Below are 13,963 nucleotides of genomic sequence, written 5' to 3' on the forward strand. Positions count from 1 at the left end.
AATGTCAGACAGGATAGGCCCATTAGACAATAGCAATCTAGGGCTGGAACTGCAAGCGAGCAGCATGTATCAGAATTTCTAGGGGATAGGACATGGAGTTGGAGGTGCAGATGGAGATTGTCATGGATGTTCTCCAAGCACCAGCCCCCTGCAAGAAAACCCTGCTTCTGGGGGACTTCTCCAGGAGCTGAGGGCCAGTGGAGTACAAAGTTCTGCATGCACTCCTCAAGTGGACTAGAGAAAGCCTGTCATGGGGGCAGTCACTCTGTGCCCCTTCCCTCCATTCCCGCTGCCACCTTCTTGGTCCAAGACATTGTCTTCTCTCTCTTAGACAGTTGCCATCATCTTCTAAGTCTTCTTTTTCAGTCCTGCTCCCATGTTCCCTCCAGAGGGATGGAATCAACTTGCTGATCAGATGGGGTTTGGAGCCATCCCTGTAAAGAAACCTGAAGACATTCCCAATTCCTCTGCCTGGCTTTCCATGTCTTCCATGTCCAGCTTCATCTCCCACTGTGCCCTTCCATACCCTGGCCTCTCTTTCCCGGGCCACCAGCCCTCATCTTCTCAGAATTTCTTGCAGTCTCCCCGCAGAGACCACCTCCTTGTAGAAGGCTGCCAAGATTCTACCACTACCCTAGCTGGGGATACCCTCCCTCCCTCTCATACAGCACATTCATGTTTTTATCTTGTGCTACAATGATCTGTACTCCTGATTTATCTTCCTCATTGAATTCCTTGATATCGTTTCCCACCCAGAACCTCATACAGGGACTCAGCAAATGTTTTTTGATTCAATAAACTCTGTTTTTCAGCTTTGATGCTACTGGTGTAACTACTCTCTTAGGATTTACCTTCCCTGAGGGGCAGCCTGGTCTAAAAGTCACTCCATTGTGCACTGGATGAAGGGCCCAGGAGGTGAGTGAGAACATCAAAGTGGGAGTGGGGCCAGGCAGGTGCCACTCTTGGCAGCTTGCTCTCCCCAGCTCTCCTAAAGCCAGGGTCAGAGCATGAGCCCCGGATGGGAGGGGCATCATCCTGGACCTGATCAGGCCTAGAAGAGCTTGCGTTCTCAACCGAGGCTGGTCTTTACCAAGATCATCCCCAACGACCTGCCCTCCCCAGCCATCTTTCCTCCCATATGCTACACCCTACATGTCTTGCAAAGCTGATGTCCCCTGTGGCTCCTTGACTGTTCATGTCTCTCTGACCTCTCCTTTCTCAGACCATGGGTATGTGAGCAGCTAGGATCAAGGGGCATGAGATTTAGTCCTGACGACATGATCATTCCATGTGTGAATCTGGTTTGCCCCTTTAGTCCGATAATGCCAGGATGTGCCTCTTTCACAGTAGCCTTTATGCTCTCCTGAGTACTTGGGGTATACATGCACCTGTGTGTGTGTGTGTGTGTGTGTGTGTGTGTGTGTGTTAAAAAATACTGCTCCAGGATTTCAAGGACCACATTTGGTTCCATTGTTTTCTTTAATTGTGGCAAGCTAAGAAGAAAAGAACTGCAATGCGCATGCTCTGTAGATGGACATGCTTCCCATGGTCATTACACCAGAGGAGAGTCGGGCACAGCTCCTCCCCCTGCCAGGCTCCCAAGATCCATGCTCCAATGTCAACCCTATGCTCACAGGGAGAGCCTTGATTTAAGTTTGGTAAAACGATATCCCATTAAATTTATGTTGTTAATTTGAATTTTATTGATTTCGTTGTTTGCCGTTCTATAATTTGTCCATTTGTTTTGCTTTTATGGTCATAGGAGAGCCATCAGCAGAAAGATTTTACTCCAGCTTGCATGTTGGTACATATTTAAATAGCATTATAATAGAAATTAGTTGTGTCAACAAAGAGGGAGAAGTTCTTTGAAAGTATTTTCATTTCAAAAGAAGAGCCAAGCATTGCTAGGATTTGAGAAATATTTTATTTAATGTTGTATTTCCCACGAGAGGATCATGAGCGCTCAACTCTTCCCAACCCCAGCTGACTCCTCCATGAGAAATCTGTCAGTGGTTTTCCCAGAAGGCTGCCCCCGTGTGAAATTCAAAGATATGTAGTGTGTTAAGGCCAGGGTGTTGCTCTCCGAATGCCTCCACCAGGAAGAATCTGGGACCCAGCTTCTGCCCAGTTACAAATGAATGGGACAAAGTCATGTTCACTGGAAACTTGCCTGAGAAACCATCTGAGGACGTCATTGTGCGTCCATCGTTCCGAGAAAACATGAGCTGTGAAAGACCACAGGACAGATGCAGAGGACTCCCCTAAATTATCTACCCCAGGGAGTGCTGGCATTTCTCTCTATCCCTGATGCCAGCAAATGCAGCCACGCCCAAGAGATTTTTTCTTTCTTTGTCCCCTACGAGAAGAAGATATGGAGACTATGTGGTTATTAAAGCTCTTAGCAGAGCACCAAGTTCCTGGGCAAATACCACACAGCCATTTATCTTTCACTTTGCTGAATTTTCTATTTTAATTGGTGTATGGAGTGGAGCGTAAAGACGGTGGGAAAATCTCAGCAAATGCATCAGTGAGGCCGTTATAAACATGGCTGCATAAACATAACCTGCAAGCCTGGGAAAGTCAGGGAATATTTAATCAACCATAGAGTGTGCCCAAGAACTGATCTCCCATACCTCCCTCTGCAGCCTCATCTCTTACTTCTTTTTTCTTTTTTTGAGATGGAGTCTTGCTCTGTCACCCAGGCTGCAGCACAGTGGCACGGCTCACTGCAACCTCTGCCTCCTGGGTTCAAGCGATTCTCCTGCCTCAGCCTCCTGGGTAGCTGGGACTACAGGCGCATGCCATCATGCCTGGCTAAATTTTGTGTTTTTAGTAGAAACGGGATTTCGCCATGTTGGCCAGGTTGGTCTCGAACTCATGACCTCAGCTGATCCACCTGCCTCAGCCTCCCAAAGTGCTGGAATTACAGGCGTGGGCCACCGCCCCCAGTCACTTTTGTTGTTGTTGTTTGTTTTTGTTTTTGTTTCTGTTTTTTTGTTTTTTGAGACGGAGTCTCACTCTGTCACCCAGGCTGGAGTTCAGTGGCGTGATCTCGGTTCATTGCAACCTCCGTCTCCCGTATTCAAGCTATTCTTCTGCCTCAGCCTCCAAAGTAGCTTGGACTACAGGCATGCACCACCACACCTGGCTAATTTTTTGTATTTTTAGTAGAGACAGTGTTTCACCATGTTGATAAGGCTGGTCTTGAACTCCCGACCCCAGCTAATCCATCTGCCTCAGCCTCCCAAAATGCTAGGATTACAGGCATGAGCCACCAAGCATGACCTCATCTTTTTTTTATTTGTTTTTTGAGACAGAGTCTTGCTCTGTCACCCAGGCTGGAGTGCAGTGGCACGATCTTGGCTCACTGCAGCCTCTGCCTCCCGGGTTCCAGCGATTCTCCTGCCTCAGCCTCCTGGGTAGCTAGAACTATAGGCGCCTGCCACCATGCCCGTCTAATTTTTGTATTTTTAGTAGAGATGGGCTTTCACCATGTTGGCCAAGATGGTTTTGAACGCCCAACCTGAGCCGATCCACCTGCCTCGGCCTCCCAAAGTGCTGAGATTACAGGTGTGGGCCACCGCCTTTTGAGACAGAGTCTCACTCTGTTGCCCAGGCTGGAGCACAGAGGCGTGGTTCACTGCAACCTCTGCTTCCTGGGTTCAAGCGATTCTCCTGCCTCTGCCTCCCAAGTAGCTGGGAATACAGCTGCATGCCACCATGCCTAGCTAACTTTTTGTATTTTTAGTAGAGACGGGGTTTCAGCATGTTGGCTAGGCTGGTCTCGAACTCCCAACCTCAGCTGATCCACCCATCTTGGCCTCCCAAAGTGCTGGGATTACAGGTGTGAGCCACCATGCCTGACCTCATCTCTTACTTCTTTCACCTCTCCTGCTACATCCCAGCTCCAGCCTCTCGCTCGCTGTGGGACCTTTGCACTGCTGTCCCTGCTGGTTAGAATTTTCTTTACCCTCTCTGTACTGGCTGAAACTTGCTTGTTTTTTAGCCCTCAGCTGAGATGTTACTTCCTCCAGAATCTTCCCCTACCCACACCAAGACTAGAATTAGTGCCCCTCTCCTGTGCCCTGCAGGACCTTGTGTGTGCCCCCTTTGGTAGCCATCACACGATGGTGCCATGTGGCTATCTCCCCACTAGACTGCAAGCTCCTCAGGGGCAGGGCCTTGGAGCCCTTTAGGTTCCACATTGCAGCACGATGTCCACTATATGCAGGTACTCGGGAAGGATTTTTGAATGGGTGGATGGGCCAGGCACGATGGCCCACTCCTGTAATCCCAGCACTTTGGGAGGCTGAGGCGGGCAGATCACGAGGTCAGGAGATCGAGACCATCCTGGCTAACATGGTGAAACCTCGTCTCTACTAAAAATACAAAAAATTATCCAGGCGTGGTGGCAGGCACCTGTAGTCCCAGCTACTTGGGGGGCTGAGGCAGGAGAATGGCGTGAACCCGGGAGGCACAGCTTGCAGTGAGCCGAGATCACACCACTGCACTCCAGCCTGGTCGACAGAGCAAGACTCCATATCAAAAAAAAAAAAAAGAATGGGTGGATGGATAAAGTTTCAGAGGAAACGCTTATGACTAGACAAAGAGGATAGCAGTGACCCTGTGGTGCCAGACATCCCCTTTCTCCCCTGCCTCTTTCATTCCCAGATCCACAACTGCTGGGCACCCTTAGCTTGCTGCCATGGGTTCTGATCTTCATTCCCTAAGCAAGAAGCACTAAAGTAGATAGAGATCCAGGTATCTAAGCTGTCAGGCCTCCTGACATACACCCCATATCCCCCCAGTTGGCCTAATCCAGTATCCAGAGGAAATTGCTAAGCCCCCATCTCTGCAACACAGGACTCTCAATAGGTTTGAATGGCAGATGATGAAGAATAGTACTTGGGACCCAAGTTGCTAAGGGCCATCAAGTTTATACGGGTGGCCTTTTTGGTTCTTTCTCTGATCACTGGCCATTTGTACCCCAACTATTTTTTTAGAGATAGAGTCTCAATCTGTCACTCAGGCTGGAGTGCAGTGGCCTGATCATAGTTCACTCCAGCCTCAAACTTCCGGGTTCAAGAGATCCTCCCACCTCACCCTCCCAAGTAGCTCCCGGGGTCTCACTATGTTGCCCAGGCTGGTCTCAAACTCCTGGCCTCAAGCATTCCCTCCACCTCAGCCTCCCAAAGTGCTGGGATTATAGGCATGAGCCACCATGTCTGGCCATGCACCCCAATTTCTCATAAAAATGGGGCCTCAACATGGTTTTGCCTGACCCAGCTCTGTCAGAAGCCAGCCTGGAGAACCTGCTGCCAGGGCAGACTTGTAGGCGACTGCCAGGATGACCAAGTTTTGCTGTCTCCAGATTCCTCACCTGCCCCAGTTCATGCATCTTGAAATCACTCCCTGGTAAGATAACAAATTCCCCCACCCTTCTGCTCTGTGGCCTTATCAGGCTATCTGAACCCCAAAGATCAATCCTTAAGGCTACTAGTCAGCAAAACCCACTCTGTCCATGGGGCAGGTGGAGGCCGGGTCAGGGCCTCTACTGTCTAGTCTCTTTTCCCTGTTGTTTTTCTGTGTGAGCACAACCTGGCAACTTAGAACTTAGAAACTCTGTTTCTAAGTTAGAAACAGAAACCTTAGAAACCTTAGAAACTCTGTTTCTAATCTACAACAGTGTAGAAAACCTCCAATTCAAGCCATAAAAGTTAGTTTCTCTGCCTCTAACATTCTACTAGAAAATGAACCATAATTTGAAACATACAGTAAAAAGTAATCTTTCCTTTTTAACACCCAAGCTCCTTCATTTTCAAAGAAAGCCAACGGCTGTTGGATTGGATTTTGTTTTTTACCAGTTATACATTTTGCCTCGAAAGCTGCCCAGAGTACAAAAAAGAAGTGAGGGTGTTCACACTTTGAAGATGAATCATCTCCAAAGCTGGCATCAGAACCCCCCATGTTCATCACCCCAGTCTTGAGACAAACTCTGTAGTCATTAATGAGAGTGCATAAGACAGGCTGGAGTTATGACTAGCATTTATTCGCTGCAGTAAAGAATGTCCTCTATTAATGACAACAGCTGTCGGTTTAATAACCCCAGAAAAGATCATTAAATTCCTTCACATTTCCCAGAAACAGATGGAAGAATTGCAAAAAGGTTCAAGCATATGGGGAAACATATTGGATCCAGCAGCTCCAAAGAATAGCCAGAAAACTGATACTCTAATGGGCTGCTGCACACGGTATTGCCTGTGGGTGCCCAATGGGAGCAGGTGTGCTCCCTGCCTTGTGGGGAATGTGGAAACATGGTGAGGAGTAGTGTCAAGACAGGTGACCCCTGAGTGTGCTAGGATGGACTGGAAAGACAGCTGCCTGAGTTAGTGGGTTGTGAAGGCTAAGAAGGTGACTAACGTCAGCAGCCATTGGCTGCAAACCTACTTTGCTGCCTTGGTGATTGTTAATGGCACCATCCCTTGGCAGAATAAACACACTCACTTTTCCATGCACGCTCTTTCTGGTCACTGCACACTTACTCCAATGCATACAGACATACCCAGGTCATCAACAGATAGCCCAATGCCCTTGCAGACAAACTCCTGAAACTTGCATCAGTGAATTTATTCTGCTGAAGAAACCTCCCATAGTCAGAGCCCATCAGCTTGATCTTCAGTTCAGAGTCAGCAGTACCTGTCTACTTTTCATGCATCCAGGTGAAGGAAAGCATTTCATGACCTCTGAGTCAGGTGCTCAGATGATTCTGTGCACTTAGAGAGAGGCAGAAGTAACAATGGAGGAAATATAGAGTTATCAAAAAATTATCTAAAAAAGAAAAAGGTTACAGGGCCTGATGGTTTTACTGGTAACTTCTTTCAGGCTTTCCAGGAAGCATTAATTCCCATTCCAAATAAACTGTTCTTATGTATAGACAAATACAGAAAGCTAAGCTCTTCATTCTATCGAGGAAGGATGGTCTTGATAACACTTATATACCATAAAAAGAAAACTAAAAACCGAGTTCACTTTAAAATGCAGACATAAATTCCTGCATAAATAGTGGCAAGACAAATTTAAAATCATATGAATACATAAGTTGGTATTCTTTGAGGTTTGTCTGAAAGGTTTAATGTTATAAAATTAATATTGAATACATATGTAATGTTTAGATGGAAATATTAAATATTGAAAAGATTTATATTGTACTTTTTCAAATTAATTTATTTGTGTTATGAGTTAAATTGTGGCTTTCCAAAAAGAGATATGGTGAAGTTATTACCACCAGTACCTCAGAATGTGACCTTATTTGGAAATAGGGACTGTTTTGTTGTTGTTGTTGTTTTTTGTTTGTTTGTTTTTGTTTTGAGACGGAGTCTCACTCTATCACCTAGGCTGGAGTGCAGTGCCACAGTCTTGGCTCACTCCAACCTCCACCTCCCAGGTTCAAGCAATTCTCCTGCCTCAACCTCCTGAATAACTGGGACTACAGGCGCCCGCCACCACACCTGGATAATTTTGTATTTTTAGTAGAGATGGGGTTTCACCATGTTGGCCAGGCTGGTCTCGAACTCCTGACCTCAGGTGATCTGCCCGCCTCAGCCTCCCAAAGTGCTAGGATTACAGGCATAAGCCACTGCTCCCGGCCAAGAATGGTTTTTATATTTTATATTTGTGTGTAAACAAAAGAAAAGAAACAAGAAGGAAGAGGGAATGGAGAACAAGGAGGAGGCAGAGGAGAGAAAAAAGATAGAGATTATTTGTTGCTCAGAAAGCAACATACTTACTACTTGACTGGTCACGAAACAATTTTGCTGACCCCTGGTTTCAAACAACCCTGATAAAAATCCTTGTAGATAAACGTCAGTTGATCTGGAAGAAGACACAGGTGAAATTCTTAACTAAGAAAACTTTGGGGAAAAAAAATAGTTCTCACTCATAAGTGAGAGTTGAACAATGAGAACACATGGACACAGGGAGGGGAACATCACACTCCGGGGCCTGTCGAGGGGTAGGGGTTAAGGGGAGGGGGAGCATTAGGACAAATACCTAATGCATGCAGGGCTTAAAACCTAGATGACAGGTTGATGGGTGCAGCAAACCACCATGGCACATGTATACCTATGTAACAAACCTGCACGTTTAGCACATGTATCCCAGAACTTAAAGTAAAATTTTAAAAAAGAATACAAAATAAATAAATACATAAAAAGCCTCATGTTACCTTGAGAAGAATTCTGATGCCCAGGCTGGTGAAGAAGGGCTGGACAATGGACCCTCTTCCTAGGAACTCCCAACTACACTATTTCAGGACATGTGATCTGCTGAAATGTATTTTATTTTCAAGGTGGAGGGAAAAATTGTCTGTTTACTAAATGCTGTGCAGGATCTGACAGTCTACGCCCTTGTCTACAAGTACCGCAAAACTGGCATTTAGACTGTACCAGAGTGGCTGCCTGCCTGGCATTGGTCTGGTGCACCTGTGTGCGCTGGTGATGGGATGGTTTGGGCAGGTGCAGATCCAAGGACTGTGGTAAAAGGGAGAGCTTGTATTTTGAAGTGGAAAAGAACCTAAGGGTTTGTACAGACATCTCATCTTCCCAGAGGAGACAGACATTCTGGGTCTCATTGTAAAGTGCCTGCTGCATCAATAAAGCTCTTGACTTATTAGAAAAAAAAACTACAATAACTAAAATAGAAGGACTCTAAGGAAAATACTGGCATACAAATCAATGAAATATGTTGCCTCACCCTTAAATGGGCTTAATTCATAATAAGAGATAAATATATAATATTGGAAGTATCAGAAACTTAAGGGAAATTGAAGTAGGAGAAAAATAAATTATTAGATCATTACATCACACTATATGTCAAAATAAATTATTGGCTAATTAAAACAATTAAATGTAAAAAAAGAAACAAACAATCTGGAAGATAATATGTGTCAATATTTAACTGATTGCTGTGTAGGGAAAAATTTTCCAAGCACAAAGCAATGGGTAAAATAGTAAAGAAGAAGACCTACAGATCTGATGAGAACATTTTCAAACTTCTGTACCTCAAGAGAATCATAAGCAAAACTGAAAGGTGAGTGACAAGCTAAAAAAAATTGACATAATTATGCCAAAGGATTAATAACCTTCACATATTAAAAAATCAATAAGAAAAGCACTAACACTCTAATAAAAATATGGGCAACAGACAGACCCCAACAACTCACAAGGGATATATCATTAGCTAAAACATATATAAGAAATAGTCATCTTCCGGGCCAGGCACGGTGGCTCACACCCATAATCCTAGCACTTTGGGAGGCCGAGGCAGGCAGATCACGAGGTCAGGAATTCAAGACCAGCCTGGCCAACATGGTGAAATCGTGTCTCTACTAAAAAGACAAAAAAATAGCCTGGTGTGGTGGCAGTCACCTCCCAGCTACTGAGGAGGCTGAGGCAGGAGAATCATTTGAACCCAGGAGGCGGAGGTTGCAGTGAGCCAAGATCGCGCCATTGCACTCCAGCCTGGGTGACAGGGTGAGACTCTGTCTCAAAAAAGAAAAAAAGAAAAGAAAAGAAAAAGGAAATAGTCATCTTCCTTGGTAATTAAAAAATGCACACTTTAAATTGAGAGTCCATGTTTAATCTATCAAACTGGCAAAATTTTAAAGGCCTTAAATACTCTGTTTGGTAGTGTCCAATTAAGGATTTGTATACACTAATAGTGGAAGTATATAAAAACAGCCTCTCTGGACAGCAATTTTGCAATACAGTCTGTTTGTGACAGCATATGCTTCTGTCATGAGAATGAGGTCATACGTGATTTGCAGAAAGTTAAGGATGTCAGTAGAACCCATGCCTTGGTCCCTGTGCAATTCTTCCCAGAAGGTTGTGTTTTAAACCACGAAGTACCAGCAGCTAAACTCAATGCCCACCCCAACAGCTGAGCATGAGTAGCCCCAGGGGGACGCAGTTCATGCTGCCCGTTCCCTCACATTCTTCCTTTGGCTAGATATGGCCACTTGTTCTGCCACGAAAGTGCTTATTATCTGATAATTCACTATCTATATGCATTTTGTCCTTGTCTCCATAACTCAGCATCTCATCTCCAATTCTTCTTTACAGCCCTTTCCATCAAACAACTTTTAAAAGTCCAATATGTAAGGTAATTGTTACTCTATTTATTAGAAATCTAATTAATTTTTAAATAGCATTTTTATGAGGCTTGTTATTTTGTGTTAGTGTTGTGGTTACAACATAAAATAAATTTTGAGTGATCTGACTCAAACATATTTTTCCCTAAGTCATGTTATTTTTAGTGCGCAGTTTTGCAGGACACAATATTTTTTAGCATTTTATATGACATGTATATACATATATATCACATTATTGTAGTACACCTCTATATGATTATCAAAAACCTAAAAAAATTAACCAGCAATTTCATTTACAGCAATATACATATAGGAAAAAATCAGGTACACACAAAAATGTATACATAAGTGTGTTCATTAAAGAGTAACTTATAAAACTGAGAAATCAGAAAACATACCAATGCATAACACTTGATTGAATACTTGATATTCCATCTATAAAATGGAATCTATGAGCCATTAAAAATAATCTTTTCAAAGAATGCTTAAAGCAATAAAATTCATCATAATACATCATTAAGGGCACAAAGAAGTCTGTAAAAACAAATGCCACAGAATATCCTCAAAATTCTACAATATAAATTACTGAATTATGTATTTCCTGTTTTATATATGACAAATATATAAATATGTATAGCAAAATATAAATAATGGTTATAAGTAATAGTAGACAAAACTGTGGATAAACATTAATTACCTCCCTGCACGTTCGTACATTTTCCTAATTTTTCTATCACAAACATATATTACTTTGTTAAATAAAAGAAAAATGAACATTATTTTTCAAATAAAAACATAATGGATGCTTTAAGAAACAGGAAGGTAGCAAGAAAAGTCGGAGGGAAGGGGAAAGACGTGGAGAGAGGACTGGGGGAGAATGAGGCCACCTTAAGTTTGAATCCCCAGGTCTGTCTCCCAAGAGGCCCAGAGACTAACAAAAGGAAATCTTCTGGGCTATGGAAATCATCAGTTAATGCAAACACTGTACCTACTTTCCTGAGCCAGTAAAGCCTGATTCTCCTGTACGGCTGCTCTCTCTCACCCCATGCCATGGATGGGCTCTCTGACCCTGTAGATCTACTCACTTACCAGGTTCCTGTACCCTTGGGTCAAAGCCATTCAACCCCTTTAGACCTATCTCAGCTCAGCTGCAGCCCAAGAGCCAAGACTGCCTTATCCACTCCGTTCCCCAGAAGCCTGGTGGTCCAGGCCAGGCCCTGTATCAGAGTCACTGGAGGAGAGCCCCCAACTCCATTCCTGCTGCCCACCCTGCCCTGCAGGAACAAGCATTTCTTTTTAATTCACAGAAGGACATGATGATCTGGGCCCTAGTGGGGTATTTATACAACCCCCAACAATGACACAGGACTGCTGGTAAGAGCCAACAGACCTGAAGATGTCTTAAGGCCGGATGGATGGCTCAGTCATCATTCAGGTGAACCATCTCCACCTATGCCCACATGGGAATATGATATTGGGATCAGACACACCCTGCTCCCACACCTATGCCTGGGCACCATAAAGCCCTTCCCACCTACCCAGAGCAGGGGCAAAAGAGGTAAATCAACGGAGATAAAGTTGATGATGGTTTTAATAAGAAATTAACTTGAGTTATAAAGAATAACATAATGGCTCGTTTCCAACAGCAGGGTAGATTTGATTGCCCTGAAGGACCTTCCCAGGTGAAACTACTAAATGGTTAAATAAAATATTTTTTAAAATCTATTGAAATGCATTACTGAGTTGGCACGAAAGTCAGAACTCTGCAAAGCCCTAAAACAAAGTGAAATAAGAAGTCTGGAAGGAAAATGAGTGCCAAAGTCTGCTTTCTCCCTGAAGGCTTCTGCTAACCTCCGGAAACGCTGAGGTTCTTCTCTGATGACTATCTGAGGTGTAGGGGACAGGAAACCAAAGCCAGTCATAGCCCAAGGCTGGCGATCTAATGTGAAATCCCTGCATAACGTTGAGGTTCACAGAGGCCAGACTCTAAAAGTGAATAAAAAGTAAACCTGGGCTGGGAGCAGTGGCTCACACCTGTAATCCCAGAACTTTGGGAGGCCAGAGCGGGCAGATCACCTGAGGTCACAAGTTCGAGACCAGTCTGGTCAACATGGCACAACCCACATCTCTACTAAAAATACAAAAGAATTAGCCAGGTGTGGTGTCATGCACTTGTAATCCCAGATATTCCAGAGGCTGAGGCAGCAGAATCGCTTGAACCCGGGCGGCAGAGGTTGGCAGTGAGCCGAGATCGCACCACTGCACTCCAGCCTGGGTGATAGAGCAAGACTCCATCTCAATTAAAAAAAAAAAAAAAAAAAAAAAAAAGAAGTAGTAAACCTGGATCGCCACAAAGAGGCAACAAGGAAACTTAACCAATGCACTCTGGCATGGGTTGGAGGGGGAAAACATTGTAAACACAGGCCACTTCTTACATAACTTTGAGATCCAAAATTATACTAGTTGTGAGATCCAAAAAACTTCAGGCAGTGCCCCTGGGCACTTCAGAAGCAAATAAAAATCCTCTCTGGAGAAACTCAACCTCAAAGAAGTCCCCAAGAATCCTCACAAATAAAGTCCCAAGGACAATAAGCAGCTTACAGCCCAAAATCACAAAACATAAAAACATATGAGGAAATAAAGTATCATGCGTAAAAACCTTCAGAGAAAAAAAAGATTCGCAAGAACTTTAGACATTGGAATTTTTCGGTATAGAATATAACATACACATAAATAGACACAGGAAAAAATGGAAGTTAAGCTAAATAGAAATAAAATACAATAATAATAATTAAAGGCCAGGCACGGTGGCTCACACCTGTAATCCCAGCACTTTGGGAGGCCGAGGTGGGTGGATCACCTGAGGTTGGGAGTTTGAGACCAGCCTGACCGACATGGAAAAATCCGGTCTCTACTAAAAATACAAAAAAATTAGCCGGATGTGGTGGCACATGCCTGTAATCACAGCTACTCAGGAGGCTGAGGCAGGAAAATCGCTTGAACCCAGAAGGTGGAGGTTGACGTGAGCCAAGATCATACCATTGCACTCCAGCCTGGGCAAAAAAAGCGAAACTCTGTCTCAAAAAAAAAAAATTAAATTCACTAAACATATCAGCTAGCAGATTAAACACCTGTGAAGAGAGAAATGGTAAACTAAAAGATCTGAATAAATGATCTAGGTGCAGCCCATAGAATAAAAAGATGGAACTATGGAAGAGGGATTAAACAAAGGAAATATGTCAAGAAGGTCTAATATAATGATCATCAGAGTTCCAAAAGAAAATAACAAAGAGAATGAGAAAGTGGCAATACAGGAAGAGACAATAGCTGAGAATTTTCCAGAACTGTTGAAAAACACCAATTCTCAGTTTAGGGAAAACCTGTGAATTCCAGGCAGAATAATATTTTTTTAAATCTCTATACTAGGTACATTACAGTGAAATTGCAAAATATCAAAGAAAAAGAAGACCACAATTAAGATTACAACCAACCTCTCAAACACTACAATGGAAGAGAGAAAACATGAAGATTATCTTCGTGTTGAAAGTACTGTAGACGTAAAATTCTATATCCAGAAACTTTTCTTTCAATAATGAGGATTTTAAAAGACATTTTGAGACAATAAAAACGGATAATTTACTAGTATAGGATGCCCACTAAAGGAAATTCTAAAGCTTATGCTTCACACAGAAGAGAAATGGTCCCAAATGAAAGGTCTAAAATGGAAGGTAGAATAATGAGATAAATATTGTAAAATAACTGGCAAAGTCTAAGCAATGACTGTACAAAACAATATATCATAATGTCAAATTCACT

General features: G+C 43.5%; 1 long non-coding RNA gene across 2 annotated transcripts in view; it reads right to left on the reverse strand.

The window, feature by feature from the left end:
- Positions 1 to 13,963, reverse strand: part of LOC105371509 (uncharacterized) — a 32,601-nt gene that overhangs the window by 4,442 nt on the left and 14,196 nt on the right. For both annotated transcript variants that reach the window (XR_934188.3, XR_934187.2), the window contains one exon: positions 7,788 to 7,872. This is a non-coding gene — a long non-coding RNA (uncharacterized LOC105371509). The remainder of the gene's footprint in view (positions 1 to 7,787; positions 7,873 to 13,963) is intronic.

This window comes from Homo sapiens, chromosome 17 (genome assembly GCF_000001405.40).
Source record: "Homo sapiens chromosome 17, GRCh38.p14 Primary Assembly".
Taxonomy (NCBI): Eukaryota; Metazoa; Chordata; class Mammalia; order Primates; family Hominidae; genus Homo; species Homo sapiens.